Genomic DNA, 18,492 nt, shown 5'->3' with positions numbered 1-18,492 from the left:
ATTTTAAGCAACACATATAAGACCCACAGGTCTCCACTGATATGACTGGGGATCTCATGAAGAAACTACTCGACAAAGACAGATACTGGAGGTATCGTACCCAGTGCCAAAGGCAGATATATTCCCAGAGGGAAGGAAAATCAAGCTCTAAAGGGGATCAGTCTGTCCTCCCATTCTGGTCATAAGTATTGCACCTAGGACTGAGCAAACATATTTCTCTTCGTCCTATTTCTGCGCAGTTGTGGGATTTTGAGCATGCCTCACAATCCCTCCGAGTTCTAATCACTGAGTGAACATATTTCTGTTTGTCCTATTTTTGCGCAGTTGTGGGATTTTGAGCATGCCTCGCAATCCCTCTGAGTTCCAATCACTAGATTTTGTAACCCTGGATTTCTGGTGCCTGCCCTGCCTTTCTTACATAGTACATATAAGGGTCAAAGAGTCTAGTGAGATAATGTATGTAAGTGTTTTTGTAAATTAAAAGTTACTGCAAAAATACACGATGTTATTTTTTATCATACTTTTAATCCTGGATATCTCAAAGTATTTTATAAAACAATCCATGTTGTTTTGTTACACTTTGTTCCTTAAGCTTCCCAGGGTTTAGTTATCTTTTCTCCAATGTTGATTTTTCGCTTGTGTCCCCTTTTTCATCACCATTCAGTAAGACCCCTCTGTACCCCTCACCCCCAACAAGATACCTTGGAGGCGACTTAAACCATTCCTTCACCCTATCTGAAATGATGACAAAGGCTGGGAGTGGTGGCTCACACCTGTAATCTCAGCACTTTGGGAGGCAGAGGTGGACAGATCACGAGGTCAGGAGATCGAGACCATCCTGGCGAACATGGTGAAACCCCATCTGTACTAAAAATACAAAAAAAAAAAAAAAGAAAAGAAAAGAAAGAAATTATGACAAAGTCCTGACAATTCTAACTTTATAAAATCCCCGAGTTCTTTCCTCTGCATAGTCCAACTTTATTGGTACTCCCCCCAGGTCAACAGCCTCCTCCTCCATGCCCATTGATATATTCTAACTGTCGTTATTGCCATAGCTTCTTATTCTCCCATCCATTCTTCATGCAGCTACTTTGTACTGATCCTTAAAAACAACAGAGAGCAACAACCCTGGAAATGTTCATATCATTCCCCAATTAAAAACCCAGAAATGGTTCCTCAATAGTAGCACTATAAAATAAACCTCGATGTGATTTTAAGGTTTTCCATCATCAGGCTTCTCCTGGAATCTTCATGCACAGACTGCCCTTTCCAGTTCTTGTCCCCATATTTCCAGACAGGTTAAACTTCTTGCACTGCCTTGACCAGTCAGTAAGCTTCCATCAACCCCTTCTCATACTGCCTACATGTCCCACACCCTTGATTATCAGGCTTCTCACCTTTTAAATTCCTCCATTATGACTTTACAAATTCAGCCTTGATCTCTACCTTGGCCCTTCACCCAGCCAGAATTAACAGTCCTGCTTTCATGCCTTTGCTTGCCACCCAGCTTAGCCTCTTATCTCAGCTTCTGAAACATTCTTCAAGTAGGTGTTTACGCAACTGTCTCCTTCTTCCTATGAGCTCCTTCAATGTACAACTTTTGTCTTATTAATTGCTTTACTAGATAAGTTTACATTAAGTTACATGCCTAGAACCTTATAACTATTCAACAGGAAGGAAGGAAGGAAGGAGGAAGGAAAGGAGGGAAGGAGGGAGGGGTGGGGAGACGGAAGGATTGTGTATATCAATTTATTTAAAATATTTATGCTACAAGTTACATGTGCTTTTTTTTTTTTTTTTTGAGACGGAGTCTCGCTGTCGCCCAGGCTGGGGTGCAGTGGCGCGATCTCGGCTCACTGCAAGCTCCGCCCCCTGGGGTTCACGCCATTCTCCTGCCTCAGCCTCCCGCGTAGCTGGGACTACAGGCGCCCGCCACCTCGCCCGGCTAATTTTTTGTATTTTTAGTAGAGACGGGGTTTCACCGTGTTAGCCAGGATGGTCTCGATCTCCTGACCTCGTGATCCGCCCACCTTGGCCTCCCAAAGTTCTGGGATTACAGGCGTGAGCCACCGCGCCTGGCCTATGTGCGTTAATATGTAAATAGATGGTACATACCCACCAAACTTTTGTTGAAAACATTTCTTTACCCACATTCTTTCAAAAATAGACTCTATTTTTAAGTAGCCCTTGATAAAAGGTGTCACAGTTTTTGTAATTTCTGTGCTTTTCCCTAACCTTGAGCCTCTACCAGTCTTCTGAAGGTGGCAGCTGTTAATACAGAACTTGATGAGGAAGATGCCAGCATCTCACCTGGAATTCACAAAACCCTAGCCAGCCCTAACTCACAAGGGCCTGCACACCCTTTAATCCAGCAAAATTAACTCAAGAGCATGTGGGACCTGAAATCCAGTCTCTGCATATTATTGCAAGTGCTTCAAGCAAAGAAAAGAACCTGATTTCACATTTGAGATGCATTTTAAACCAAAGGTCTGTTCTGGTACCTCCACAAGGAAGCATCAATCGGACCACAGAAAATTTACATCCAGGGATTTGTCTTCTGGAATGGATCTCACTGACCTACAAGAATTGAATTTGCCCGTGTCTTCACAACACCTTGTTAGTGGTATCAAATCAGGAGATTGAAGTGAGCCATAGTGAGAGTATGGACACCACAGAAATCAACTTACATATCAAGGCTTTTTCTTTATTTCAGGAGAGCCAGTTCAATAGTACAACACTTTTATGATCTTCCCTCTTTTGCTCACACCTCCCTGCCATTCCTGTTCCCAGTCCATACTTGAATAACTGTGTTGCAAATAACATCAGTTCAGAAAACTTGTGTCTCCGCAGGAAGATTTATTTGTTCATTTACCTTAATACAGGAAGTTCCTCTGCAGCATTTTTTAGCTGGAGGTGCTGAAAGACCACGTCCTCTTTGGCTATATTCATTTCAGGTTTATGTGAACATCTTTTGCTAAAAAGGTGTTGAAATCTTCCTAGAACACAGAGTCTATTATAAATAACCATGAAAAAAATCTCCCTTAGTAGACTACAGTTATAAGTAAACACACACCCCACACCCCCCGCAAAAAAAAACACAAATCTTAACTGCTTTCCTCTTCTCCCTTTTTCTTCTCCAAATTACCACAGGGCACTCATGTATGAGTGCAAGCACTTTCAGCCTTTGGTTTGAGGGATTTTATCAGTGTTGATGGCACTCTCTCTGAAACAGTGTCTTAGAGGGCTGTTTGCCATGATGCTAATGAGGCTTAAGCGTCAAGACTCTTCACTTTGATAAGATCTCTCCAAAATCACAATGTGTTCTCATAGTCATATATTTGAAAAATTTACAAAAGTAAGGTTTCTTTCTGTATTCTCTTCCTTTCTTTCTTTTTTTTTTTTTCAGGGTCTCGTTCTGTCACCCAGGCTGGAGTGCAGTGGCACAATCTCGGCTCACTGCAACCTCTGCCTACTGGGTTCAAACGATTCTCCTGCCTCAGCCTCTTGAGTAGCCGGGACTACAGGCATCTGCCACCACACCCAACTAATTTTTGTATTTTTAGTAGAGACATGGTTTTGCCACATTGGCCAGGCTTGTCTTGAACTCCTGACCTCAAGTGGTCTGCCTGCCTCAGCCTCCGAAAGTGCTGGGATTATGGGCATGAGCCACTGTGTCCAGCTACATTATTTTTTTCAAAGAGAGCCCTGCAACACTATATAAATTTCAGGCTCCATGAAACCTCCATACACCCCTGAGGGTTATTTTACATTGGTTTAGCCTAACTTATTTAAAGTCACAATCTTGCTTCCGGCCCTACCCTTCTCATGAACTAAACTCCTGTCCTCTTTCCCTCTTTCTAATAAATTCACAAAGAAACTTCTATGCAATGAATTTGCTGTTTTTAAACTTCCATATTATTATCAAGAAAAAGAAAATGGATGGTTATTTAACTTCTGAAGTAATTTAGAGGAACTCAGGTGCTTGACCAGGGAAAATATAAACTTACTGGCAAGAAAGCTTGGAGCTCAGCTGCCTTCTTGACTAACTGAATCAGAAATGCCTACCTTCCCCAAGCCCCACTTTCCACTGACTACAAACCAGCTTTCTTCCTCAGCCTCATTAACTTCTTGTCCTGCAGGCTCAGCTTAAAGATTGTGTCATCTCGGAAGCCTTTCCTAGGTTAGACATCTCTCCTATTAACTCCCATTGTATCTTGAGTTTAACCCTACAATGGACTTATCACACCAGTAGATTATGAGCTCTAAAGGGCTAGCATGTGTTGTATACATTACTTCTTACAGTGGCTGGCACAAAACCAGCCTTCAACACATATTTGTTGAATGAATATATGAATGAAGGAAATAATACTTTTCTGAATTAGGAGTTAGAATACCCAAATACTTATTGTATATCTGCCAGTAATGAGCTTGTTAACACTGAACAAACCTGTACATTCCCTTGACCTCATTTCCACATACATATATATGTATATAGTAAAGAGTCCAGGTGGAACCAAATCTGAGATTATTCTTAGGTTTTTATATAGCTGTAGCCAGTCTTTACAAGAAAGAATGAGGAGCCTCTTGAGAAAGATCACATGGTAAGTGAAGACAAACAGCTATAACCTGGTTCAAGAACAGTAGGCTGGTGTTGAACAGAGCTGGGACTCTGAATAGACCTTGGGCCTGTCACTCTGATGGTTCTCTGGCCCAGGCCCAATGGACATACAATATGAATAAGAAAACAAAGTTTGTTTTCCTTCTTTTTTTTCCTACTAATTGCTTCACTGGGCTTTGGGACCTCAATAAGTCAGCAGCATTGGCATTGGCAACTTGGGCAGAGACAAGATAGCACTAGAGTCTTGGGAGATGATGTTGGCAGTTTCAGGAGCAATAGCAACGAAGGCCTGGGCACTGAAGATATGTTAGCAGCCTCTCTCGGTATTACGAAGAGCCAAAAACACCATCGCAGTGAGGCAGAGTGAAAGAGGAGGAAAATGACAGACATCCAGTGTCGTAAGAAGATAATTCGCAGCATGCTTACCACAACTTAGACACGTGCCAAACTCCATGGAAGGAATGTAAAGAGGGCTCTATGTCTTATAAAAGCAGAGAGAAACATAGTTTAACTGTTACTGCATAAACCTCTTTTTACTCCGATGTATAGTCTGGAATAAGTTTTGGGGGTTTAACTGGAATTCAAAATTATAAATAATCATCCTTACCCAAAGAATGTGACACCTCAAATATTAGCAAATTGAACAGAGTTAAAAATAAATCTCACTATGGCTGTGAAATTGGGGAAGAGAAGTTCAGAACCTATTTCTTATTTTCTCAGTGCAGTAGAAAGGCTTTGGATTTGGGCTGGTATCCTAACTCTGATACTCAATGGATTAGTCAAATTAGTAAAATTATTTAGCTTATTGAGCCTCAGCTTCTCTAACTGGATGATGAGAATAATACTATCTACAGTACTGTTGGAAGGGATTAAATATATAAAGCATAAGCACATAGCACATATGTGAGTGCCTGACCTTTGGTGGGTGCTTAATAAACATGAGTTCTCCCTCCCTGCCTTCATCTCCCTTTATTAATAAAGCTTCTTCTCACACTCCAAGCTATTAGAAGTTCAGCTGACACAGGACATAGGGCAAGAGGAAATAAACTTTGCATGGTTCTAGAAATTCCCTTTTGATATTCATTATGTTATTTTTCAGGGATAGAAGAGTCTATGAAGTACAGAAAAGAGGAAAGATCTGCAAACAATTCGGTATCTTCTTTTAACTTGAAACTCATTCTACCCACTGCTACAGCTAGGTACTGTGCTCTTGCTCAGATTGCTGGAGGGTTTTGTTGTGATGATCTCCTTCAATACATCAATACTATAAGTTCTATAAGAATCATCTCAGAGCTTGTTTAGAACTCATTTTTTTTCTTTTTCTGGGTTATGCAATTATAATATTCATTTACATGTGAAAGCCCTGGACCATCAATGGATTTTATCAATGTATTAAAATTGCTAACTGTGCCATGCAGATACCAGTGATGTTCCTGATGGAATTACAAGTCTAGGGCCATGGTGTTCTATTCCAAATAAATCCCATGCAAAGCATATTCTTACATTTAGACATTTCCATAATTATGCACATTTTCCTTTATTAGCAATTTCTCTGACTGTGTTTGGATGAGTGGTATGGAGTGTGTATAGGCTTGAGTGTGTACATACACAGTAAGGTGAAATGTGCCATGGTCAATAGGGGATGCTTTTTGGACTGTGGTGGATCTGCATGTGCTTAAGCTCCAGTTTGACACTCCCTATGTGATCTTGGGCAATTTACTTAATACCTCTAAGCTCTTCAGTTTTGTTATCTTTAAAATGGAGTTTGGAGAACTTACGCATAAACAGAACACTCAAAAAATTTTAGCTATGCTATGGATATTCCAAATATGATGAAGCAATATGTTAGATATTACATTAAAACATTACTATCAAATAGATTTTAGGGGTAAATTTTCAAAAATAATTGTTCAGATCTTTTGGTAATAGAGACCACAGAAAGAGCCAAAAAGCTTTTACAAATTATCCTAATGAAGGGAAAGAAGGGAAAAGGGAGGCAACTTTTGAAAAATGAAGTTATTGCTTTCTCAGTCCTTTCCAATTCAGTCACTGGGAGCTGACAATAAAAACAATATTGATTCCTCATTTTTAGTGAAACCTACCCAATAGAAATCCTTCAGGGCTTGCTATTTTTCTGAGAGAAACCCTGCCTTAGCACTATTGCCTTTTCCGGAAAGGATCTGGCAGAAAACAATATTCTGCCTGGAATTCGCAACATTTCTTCCTTTGTGAAAACAAACAAACAGTAAGTTCATTTCCTCCCAAATCTTCTCAGGATTCTTTCTCCTGGTTTACCTCCTAGAAATCAATTTCTTATGACTTTCTTCACTCACTTTCATAAAAGAGATCAGGCAGATACTCTAAAAGGTGAAAATTAAACATTTCAGGGACAATCTGATGTCATTTTGATTTTTTATGATTAAGTCTGATAGGATTTAATCGAATTCTCAATAATTATTTCTGGCAAGTGATTCTATAAGTGATTAAGTAATTCTCATTATTTTTACTTCTCTGTATTTTCTAATTTCCCTACAATAGATATTTAGTACTCATGAAAGAAAACACATAAAAGTTAAAAAGTATGGTGATCTTAAAGTTGCAGTCAAATATTTGTGGCCATTCTAATCAAATCGCCTTTATGGGGTCTGCTCTTGACTATACTACTTCATTTAATTCTTCCAATCACATCTACTCATCTTGACTGTTTTATCACTGAGGAACCAAAGCCCAGAGATTTTAATAAATGAATCGAATTATCACAGCTAGGAGAGGCAACACCATTATTGAACTGACAGCCTTATTTTTTAAAACACCCTGCAAGTAGGTAAAAAGCAGGAATGTAAACTCAGGTCTATCTGATCAAGTTTTATATTATTAATCACTGTTATTTCCTCAGATGTCTTCCTGAAGTAAAAAACTCAGAATCTGACCAATGTGATTTCTTTTTGTAGCCACGGTTCTACAGTTAAACTGAAGAAAAAAATTAGTTTTCTCTCTGTCAATTGAATGGCTAGTTGTTTTTTTGTTTTGTTTTTGTTTTTCTGACAGTCTTGCTCTATTGCCCGGGCTGGATTGCAGTGGAGTGATCTCGGCTCATTGCAACCTCTACCTTCCAGGTTCAAATGATTCTCCCGCCTCAGCCTTTCAAGTAGCTAGGACTACAGTTGTGTGCCACCATGCCCGGCTACTTTTTGTATTTTTAGTAGAGATGGGGTTTCACCATGTTGGCCAGGCTGGTCTTGAACTCCTGACCTCAAGTGATCTGCCCGCCTCGGCCTCCCAAAGTGTTGGGATTACAGGAGTGAGCCACTGCACCCAGGCTTTTTTTTTTTTTTTTTTTTTTTCCCAAAACAGATGAATTTTCTGAGAGAAGGCCCTCAGCTACATCTAGACTCTACTGAAATGGCCCATTCGGAACCCAGAACATCTATAAGAGTATCTTTGCTTGGAAACTTATAAGAAAGTTCTCAAAATACTAAAGACAAGACACTATGAGGGAAATGAAGGAAAGTTATCATACAGACAGAGGCATTAATTGAACCCCAAGATGAGGCCAGTTAATACAAAAACGAAAGAACTTAAATTCAATACACATTTTCCATTAGCACGTAACTAAAAAAAAAGACTTACAGTAACTTTTAGTATTGCCTGGTATTCTACATTTTTGTAGGCGGAACTTAAAACTCTTAATTTTCACTGAGTTACAATTTAATGACCATTAAGTACCTTCTAAGCCAGAAACATTTTGACTTCCTTTAAGTTTTAAAAACTTCTCCCCCAGACCTTTCCCTACTTTGCTTGTGTTTCCCCTCCTCAGACTTTAGTCTTGCTTTGCTTATTATTATTTTTTTAATCTTCTATTTAGTTTTTTGCAGTTCAGGGTAAGAGACAAGGTATTACTTCTCTCTTGTGGGGTTCCAGCACCAAGGCTGATCTTAATTGAATGGCTCAGAGAATGAATCTGAGGGAAGCAACTATGAACCAATCCAACTGCAAAGGAACAGATTATGAAATTAGTCATGTGCTTTTAAAGCAGTCCCATGTTTCAGTTTTGGAAAGCTGGACTTAAAAATGTAACTAAAATCAATGACTAGGAATGAATGGGGGAAGAATAATGTCTTACCTGTTCTATGTTCATCATATTAAGTTTCAAACATACCATCTCCAGCCACAATTTCAAGCAAAATTAGTTTGAGAATGAGACATTCAGGAGACAGGGGAATTGACAAAGAAGGGAGAACCAAACTCATTGGGTCAAACTATACGGAGATGGCCAGAGAGGACCTGTTGCCAATTTGATAAGTGATCTCATTCCACTCTGAAGCCCATCAGAGTTCTGAGCAGAGAGATGCTGGATCTCATTATTATTTATTCTTGACCTGCAGCCAAAAAAACCCTCTGAACTGAATATCCAGCTTTGCATCTAAGGCATTTCAGTGTCTCCAATGTGGTAAAGGAAAACACTTTTTCTTTCCTGTTGCTATGTATATTGGCAAATATCCTATCCAAAGAATTGTGCTCCAAGAACTCTGGAAACACCTGCCAGCAGAAAACTTGGGAGCTTTGTTTAAACAAGTATACCTGCCAACTTTCCAGTGCTGTTGATTTTGCAGGACTGAACAACGTGGACTATTTTAAAACTACTTATGGATAACAGGAACTGGGCCATGGAGATGAGGCACGGAATGTGCCTAGAATCATGTTTATCTTTTTATTTTTTAGTATTGTGTAGTCTGAGCCTTGTGCAAGAAAACTGCAGTGTTAATCTCCCTTCAGCACTGGGTCCACCATGTGGCTGTGAACAGGAAGAATGCTTGGGCGTGAATTCAAGGTATTTGGCAAAATAGGGTTTCCAAGAAACCCTGTGGAAATATAAAGCTCCAGGCTCTGTGACATGTACTGGCATTAACAAATGTCCCTTAGGTTCTCAAGGGCATTTAGATTCCTTTTGTAATTTCTTCATAGCATTGTAATCAATGAATCAGCTCAAACACTCTTGAGTCTTAGTGAGCAATTCCAAATCTGAGTCCTAATTGGACATGATTATAATAAACAGTTCTACTCTAATTTCCTTCCATCAAAATTAACTACTGTAGGTAATTGTCCAATAGGCAAGATGTTTTCTTGAGGTATTAAATAAAGGCATTTGGATATATAAATCTTAATGGTTGGCATAAAAGATGCCATGCTCAAGGCAATAAGGCTTAGTGGTATTTGTTTTTAACTCAACAGCTAGTATATGGTTGTTTGAAAGTAACTGAACTGAGGTCATTGGAGGAGGTGGAAGGACACCAACCTCCCATCTTACAGACCATAAGGTGGTCCCACTGAACTTCAGCTGTTTCCATGGCTGAGCAGCATGGTGATGTTTTGTGGATGGGAAAGATGCTGCTACTCCAAAGGTGTATCAATCTGAAGATGCTAGCCTACTTCATGTGGTTGGAAGGAAGGATGTTGAAAACCTCTTTATCAGCTGGGTGTGGTGGCCCATGCGTGTAATCCCAGCGCTTCGGAAGGCCCAGGCAGGTGGATCACCAGAGGTCAGGAGTTTGAGACCAGCCTGTCCAACATAGTGAAACCCTGCCTGTACTAAAAATGCAAAAAAAATTAGCCAGTTATGGTGGCACGTGACTGTAATCCCAGCTACTCAGGAGGCTGAGGCAGGAGAATCGCTTGAACCTGGGAGGCAGAGGTTGCAGTAGGCCAAGATCGCACCACTACACTCCATCCTGGGTGACAGAGTGAGACTCCGTCTCAAAAAAAGGAGAAGAAAACCTCTTTATCAATGTGTTCTTCTGGCCTGCTATGAAAGTCCTACCATTTTGAGTTTTTCCTTTGGATTAAGGCTCTGTAGGAGTCACTTTGCTTCTTAGTTCCTCAGTTGCCTCCTCCATACTGTTAGGGAATTAGTTTATGTATCATTTAGTGATCACTGCAATAACACTATGTAATAAACCACCTCTGAAACTCAGGAACTTAAAATAATAATTATTTGTCCTCATAGAGCTGTGTGTTGTTTGGGGAGGCTCAGTTTCAGGCCATGGTGGCTGGGGTGGCTTTGTTTTACATTGAGGGTCCACTGGTCAATTTTGGACAACCTGCCATTGGCTAAGGCAAGTCACATGACCAATCCCTAAGCCAAGGAGTGTGGAAATATGCCTCATTCATGAGTATTTAGTACCAAGCAGTGTGAAAATATACTTCATTTATGAAGTTACTATGGCAAGGGTGTGATATAGGGAGGAGTAAAAAATTGGGGTCACTAAATCAACCTAACACAGACTAGTTAAGTGGATTCTAAATATTGGGGTCCTTGTAGCTATAACAGAGATTTCTCAAATACACTATGTTACAGAATCCTAAAATTTTAAAAATGTAAAGACAGAACCATTTTGCAGGTCCACTAGGGAACTCCTAAAGCATTGTAAGTATCATGTGGGAAGCCTGTAAAAATCTGGGTCTTCTGTAGCAGAACTGAGACGGATGGTCTAGGAAACACCATTTTAAATAACATTTCAAGTTATTCTGATGAGAGCTTGGTGGAGCTTGAATTCTCCAGGATCCTAGGATTCTAAGCTGCACCTCTATTTTGACAGCACATGTGGTTATCAAGTACCAGCACCGTTTTACTGAGTCAGGTTACATATGCTAGCTGAAATAAATTACTCTTCCTATGCCAGTTGACACATTTTGGCAGGGACCTCTTATCCACAAGCCAATACAAATAAAGTGGGTAAAAGCAGGAAAAGGGAGCAATGGTATCTTGTCAAGTTTTGAATACTAATATCTCACTTTTATTTACAACAATAATAGTTGACAATAAAGTCAAGTTCTGATTCTAAGCATTATTTCCAGAAAGTTAGAGTTAATATGCAGTTACTGTAGGCCAGGAAAACCTTAAGCAAAACTTCAGTCATTGGATATATCATTCAGGGTTATACCAGATAAAAAGAATTGGTAGGATATCTATCTACCTATCTGTCTATCTATCTATCTTATCTATCTGTGCAAGGAATTGTCTTTTATGATTGTGGAGGCTGGTGACAAGTCTGAAATCCGCAGGGTAGACCATTGGGAAGGGCAGGCTTGAAGTTAGGCAGAAGTTGATGCTACAGTCCACAGGAAGAATTTCTTCCTTGTCAAGAAAAGCTCACCTGTGCTTTCAAGGACTTTCAGTGGACAGAGTCAGGGTCAAGCACATTAGAGATGATAGTCTCCTTTACTTAAAAGTAACTAATTATATATGCTATTCATATTTACAAAACACATTCACAGCAACACCTAGATTAGTGTTTGATTGAATCACTGGTGCAACAGCATTGACAAATTGGCACATAGAACTGACCATCATCATATCTGAGGATTTCTCTTCTTGTTTTGGGTGTTACATTTGTGTGTTACCTGTATCCTTATTTAACATTTTTTTAAACTAACTTAGTTTTTGAATTTCAGCCTTCTCATAAGCAATAGTAACTATTAAACTATTCATTTCATGTGTTAGTTATATAAATCATAAAAACAATAAAATTAGTTATATCTATTAAAATAGTTTGTCCATATACTACCTTAAATAATTTACCACACCCTCTTGGAAATACTAGACTAATTTATTAAATTAATCGCTAGATAGTTGGGTCGAAGAGCTTGCTAGAAAGAAGCAATTTTAATAAGGAAAGAGAAAGTCTAAAGCCAGGAGCTCAACCTGGGCAGGGCAAAATCCAAAAAGATGCTTTCTGTTACAGAAAGCCCAGGGGAACCTGGGATTGGGAGTGCTACACACCTATGGTGAAAATGACACAGGGAGGAGTGTTTAAAGCTGTCTGAAAGTTTCATAGAGTTTTGAGGAATGACTTTAGCCACTTACATTACAACTTTCAGGAAGGCTATACTGCAAAGAACTTAAAATAGTTGAGTTCATCAAGCCAAAGACAAAGAAGGCGAGAAAGAAATTATCTTTGCCCTTAAGACCCTTATAGTCTAATAGAAAAGAGCAATATCAAAATATGATCACAGACCAGTATGGAATACACTGTTAGAGGCCTGCAGAGGTGCCAAGTAAAAGGTGAAGTGCTCAGGAAAGGTTGCTTGGTGGGGAGATGTCTGAGTTGAGGCTCAAAGAATAACAGGTATTAGCCTTGTGAAGATGGCCTGGGTGCACGTGTGGGAGGAGGTGGAGCATTCCACATAATGTGAAAGCATGAACAAAATCGGGGACTTGAACTTGGATTGTATGTATATGTGTGTATGGGTATGTGTGGAGTATAGCGTTGGGGTGGATACAATAGAGAACAGTACAGAAAAATGGCTGAAACAGAGTCACCACGTTGCACAACTCCATGGGACACCATTCAAAAAGACTTTGAGGCTCCGTTCATCAATGGCTCACACCTGTAATCCCAGCACTTTGGAAGGCTGAGGTGAAAGGATTGCTTGAGCCCAGGAGTTCCAGACCAGCCATGGCAACATAGAGAGACCCCATCTCGACAAAAAAATAAAATAAAATGATTAGCTTGGTGTGGTGGCACACACCTGTAGTCCCAAGTACTTCTTGCGAGGCTGAGGTGGGAAGATTGCTTGAGCCCTGGAGCTCCAGGCTACAATGAGCTGTGATCGTGCTACTGTACTCCAGCCTGGGTGACAAAGCAAAACCCTGTGCCAAAAAGAAACAAAAAACAAAAAAAGAAAACAAACAAAAAAGACTTAGATTTAATACCCATTACAAACTCTGCATGACTATAGGGTTTAAAGTGCAAACATGGAGGGTGGAATGTTGGGAACCTAGTCTGGAAAGGTAGGCATAAAGCAGGTCATCATGAATCCTTAATTCCATGACGAGGAAGTTGGCCTTCATATCACACAGCAGTTCTGAATTTTCCAATAAGAAAAATCAAGTACACGCTTAAGACATCAATTAATCAGAAGGGCAATTATTTTATTTTGAAATTGTTTGTAAATTTTCAAATTACCAAAGTAGTTATTTTAGGAAAATACCCCAAACATTGAGTTGCTTTTACCCTTGTTTAATGTCTTAGCATTGCTTTTGTTTTTGAGTTTCATATGGCAGGATGAAGGTAGGTAGAAAACAGCATGAGCTCATCAGTGTTTTGGGTAAATAAAAGCTTTCAGGTCCTGCTGTTGAATATATGTGGCCTTTGAAGAATGTTAACATGAGCAAATACAGAAGAGAAAACATGGTGGCCAGGGTTAGGTGCCTTATTTTAGTGTCGGACAGAATAAAGTAGTGCATTTTTACATTCACTGACCTCTCTGAAATACATACGATAGATAGCATTTTGGTATTATAAAATTGATATTACAAAATATTTAAAATTGCTCAAGGAAAAATATACTAGATCTGTCAAAGTTCCTGGCAGGAAACAGATGGCACATTCAAGTAGAATAATTCAAAACAATTTACTAAAAGGAACTATTTAGTGAAGTGGGAATAGGAATCACTTTGATTTAAGGGAAATCAACAAGGAATATTCAGGGGCTAGTACATTAGGAAGCTCTAAGCACAACCCATAAGCCTGAAGGGACCAGGGGTGGGAGCAGTAAACAGAACCCTGAGAGCCCAGCTGTAGCTGTAGAGAAGATCGTCAGACTAGAGCTGTGACCTTTTATGGAGGGATATACGCAACCTGTGTTAACCTAGCATGAAGGAAGCTAGACTGTATCTTGTCCCCATTTTCCTTTGGCCTTCTGAGTTTCTAACAATGTCTCCTCTTGGCTGAACTTAAACAGAAGCCAGGGAATTAGATTGTGAAATGATGGGTCCATATAAGCCAACTTTCCCTACAGAAAGCAGGATGGAGAAGGATGGTAAGTGCATGTGGAGAGTCAAACAGAAAATATCCAGCGTAGATATATATATTGCAAACAAACATCATTTAAATAATCATTTAGCTGCTGGGTGCAATAACAAAATTCTATCTGTGCAAAAATACAAAAATTAGCTGGGCATGGTGGCACGCGCTTGTAGTCCCAGCTATTTGAGACAATGAGGTGGGAGGATGGCTTTAGGCCAAAGCAGAGGTTGCAGTGAGTTGAGATCTGGTTACTACACCTGATCTCAGAGCAAGACCCTGTCCGTGCCCCCCACCCAAAAAAATTACTTACTTTCTACATCAGGGGCCAGTAAACTATGACCCATAGGCTAAATCCAGCTTGCAACCTGTTTCTTGAAATAATGTTTTATTGAAACACTGCCATACCCATTTATTTACATCTCATCTATGGTTGTTTTTGGCAGAGTCTTTAAATCTGAAAATATTTACTATCTGGCCCTTTACCAAAAGCCTTTACTGACCACTGCTCATAGTAAAAAAGTAGGCTTTCTCCTTTTAAAAAAGTTTCTTAGCGATAACAACATACTCCAGAGTTATCCTAGTTTTTTGACCTCTGCCATCACCAAATATGTATTACTTTCATGATACATATTTCATTTCAGTCTTAGTTTTTCCACAGATGAACTGTATTTGTGTATATATGTATATATATATATGTGTGTGTGTGCGTATTTGTGTGTGTGTGTGTCTGTATGAGGAAACCAGCTTTAATCAGAAACACATCTACGAACTTGGAATGAATAAAAGTGACCAGCAAATAATTTAGGGTGACATATTTAGGTAGCCTTCCCAATTTACCTGGTTTCTCAGATTTTTTAAAAAATGTAGAATACTGTTTTTAAAATGACGAGACATTTCAAAAATATATCATTTCTCACTCCCCATATTCACCCAGCATATAATTATCTATGCACTTTGTCCATGGCAAGTATGACTTTTGACTTCATAGCCTCCCCTTCTTGATTTTCATTTGATGTTATTTTAATCTTCATATACTCAAAAGTGCATTATGAAGTTTTGCTTCAGGTTGAAGAGGAAGATTTAAAAGTTGAAAATTAATTATGTCCTGTTCTTCAAGTCAGATTTGAAACAATGCAAGGAGGGAAGGAGACAGAGAGAGGGAGCAGGAGCAAGAAGGAGAGAGAGGGAGAGAGAGACACACACAGAGGCAGAGAGAGACAGAGAACGAGAGGGAGAAGAATTGTTTGTAAATGAAGAAAGATTGAAATAAATGTTTGAAGATTTTTACTTTATGAATCATATTACTGCCTCCTTTGACTTTGGTTTCCAATGATTTTACCTATTATTTTGTAGTGCATTTGTGCTGAAGCTCTCAGATACTGCTCTTGCAGACCTCGGCCTGGATCTTTCTTGGTGCTGTCTCATTCCACATTCCCGAAATGTTGCAATAGGATGTATTACACAATCTGAGATAGCAAAGAAGAGACTAGACTTGAAGTGAGGAAGCTTGTCATTTAGCCATTCTTCAATATTTGCTGGTGGAAAGAATGAAGAAAGAGGTGGGCGGAAGGAAATAGGAGGGAAGGATGTATTTAACCACAGTAATGTACTGTATGCAATAAATGTGTATAAGAATGGCATTCTCGGTCGGGTGTGGTGGCTCAGGCTTGTAATCCCAGTACTCTGGGAGGCCGAGGCGGGCAGATAACCTGAGGTCAGGAGTTCGAGACCAGACTGACCAACATGGGGAAACCCTGTCTCTACTAAAAATACAAAAAAAATGAGCCGGGTGTGGTGGCACATTCCTATAATCCCAGCTACTAGGGAGGCTGAGGCAGGAGAATAGCTTGAACCTGGGAGGTGGAGGTTGCAGTGAGCCGAGATCGTGCCATTGCTCTCTAGCCTGGGCAACAAGAGCGAAACTCCGTCCCCCACCCCCCAAAAAAAGAATGGCATTCTCTTAAACTACATGTAAAACATTACAGGTCACAAAACACTATTTTCAAAGCACAAATAAAAACTTAATATACGTGTTTGTGTAAATGTGTGTGTTTTTGCAGCACATAACCAAATTTCTATGAATGAATAGAAAAAGGAAAACCCAATAGACAAAAACTGATAGTTTAGAGATGAATGAAATACAAGTGATTCTTAAATAATAATAAAATGTGCATTTTTGTTTGTAATAAGATAAATTCAAATTAAAATCATCGAGGTAACAATTTTTATCTTTCTTACTATATAGTTTGACTCTACGCACCTCTTTCACATTGCTGTATAGGAGTGTAAATGGTTAGATCTTTTTATGGAGAAAAATCAGAAGCTTGTTTTTTGTGTTAAAAATGACATACAGTTTGACCCCATGATGACTCAATTTCTAGAAATAATATACTTCTCTATGTAAGAAATGACATCCATACAATAGCGAACAGTATGAACATTGTTGTATTATTTGTCATAGCAGAAGGTTACTATTATATAATGCGATCTAGAAGATTGCTTAACAAATTAGGAATGCAAAGAACAATATATTAGCCTACAGATCTATGTTCCACTTCTGTAATTCCTCCCTGCTGCGAAAACCTCAGGGGCAAGGGGTCTTCAGTATGTCATTCTTCTTTTGAAGATTACTAACTCTTAAGTTACAAAAAATGCACAGAGTGCAAAATTGGGGAGCTATTATAAAGAATGCAGCAGCTCTATATTTTCTGGAATGCAATAAAACTTTTTTTCTTACAGCATTGGTTTTAATGATGAAATTGGAAAACATTACAAAATCCAATAATAAATAATTAAATTAAAGATAATATATCTGCCTGAACTCAAAAAAATCAGCAAGAAAAATACCAAATAATCCTATTAAAAAGTGGGCAAAGGACATGAATAGATAATTCTCAAAAGAAGATATACAAAGCCAGGTGCAGTGGCTCACACCTGTTATCCTAGCACTTTGGGAGGCTGAGGCGGTTGGGTCATGAGATCAGGAGATAGAGGCCATCCTGGCTAACACGGTGAAACCCCATCTCTACTAAAAATACAAAAAATTAGCCTGCTATGGTGGCATGCACCTGTAGTCCCAACTACTCGGGAGGCTGAGGCAGGAGAATCGCTTGAACCCAGGAGGCGGAGGTCGCAGTGAGCCGAGATCACTCCACTGCACTCCAGCCTGGGTGACAGAGCAAGATTCTGTCTTAAAAAAAAGATATACAAATGGCCAATAAACAAATGAAAAAATGCTCAACATCACTAATCATCAGGGAAATGCAAATTAAAACCACAATGAGATACCACCTTATACTGGTAAGAATAGCCATTATTAAAAAGTCAAAACACATAGATGTTGGTGTGAATTTGGGGAGAAGGAAACATTTATACACTGCTGGTGGGAATGTGTATTAGCATACCCTATTTGGAAAACAGTATGGAGATTCCTTAAAGAGTTAAAAGTAGATCTACCATTGGATTCAGCAATCCCACTACTGGCTATCCACTCAAAGGGAAAGAAGTCATTTTATGAAAAAGACACTTGCAAATTTATGTTTATGGCAGGACAATTCACAATCACAAAGATGTGGAACCAACCTAAGTGCCCATTGACTAATGAGTGGATAAGAAAATGTGATATTATATATAACATATATATGTATAAATGTATCTCATATATATGTATATCATATATATGTATATAGATAGATTACATATGTATATAGATATATATGATATATATGTATATAGATATATCATATATGATAGATATCATATATATGTATAGATATATCATATATGATAGATACCATATATATGTATATAGATAGATATATATATGATAGATATCATATAGATGTATATAGATAGATAGACACCATGAAATACTACTTGGCCATTAAAAGGAACAAAATAATGTCTTTTGCCACAACTTAGATGGAGCTGGAGGCCATTATTCTATGTGAAGTAACACAGAAGCAGAAAACCAAAAACTGTATGTTCTCACTTATAAGCAGAAGCTAAGCTATGAGTAATCAAAGACATACAGAGTGATATAATAAACTTAAGAGACTCAGAATG

At 38.9% G+C, this 18,492-nt stretch overlaps 1 long non-coding RNA gene across 1 annotated transcript; it reads right to left on the bottom strand.

Moving 5' to 3' along the window:
- Positions 1-505: 505 nt before the first annotated feature.
- LINC01985 (long intergenic non-protein coding RNA 1985) lies at positions 506-8,831 on the bottom strand. Its single transcript, NR_147054.1, has 3 exons — positions 8,742-8,831; positions 2,873-2,992; positions 506-867 (listed from the first exon to the last, which is right to left on the bottom strand). It is a non-coding gene; the product is annotated as a long intergenic non-protein coding RNA 1985 (long non-coding RNA).
- Positions 8,832-18,492: the final 9,661 nt, after the last annotated feature.

Source organism: Homo sapiens, chromosome 3 (assembly GCF_000001405.40).
Source record: "Homo sapiens chromosome 3, GRCh38.p14 Primary Assembly".
NCBI lineage: Eukaryota > Metazoa > Chordata > Mammalia > Primates > Hominidae > Homo > Homo sapiens.
The sequence above is the reverse complement of the archived record's forward strand: the minus strand, read 5'-3'. Positions and strand labels throughout refer to the sequence as shown.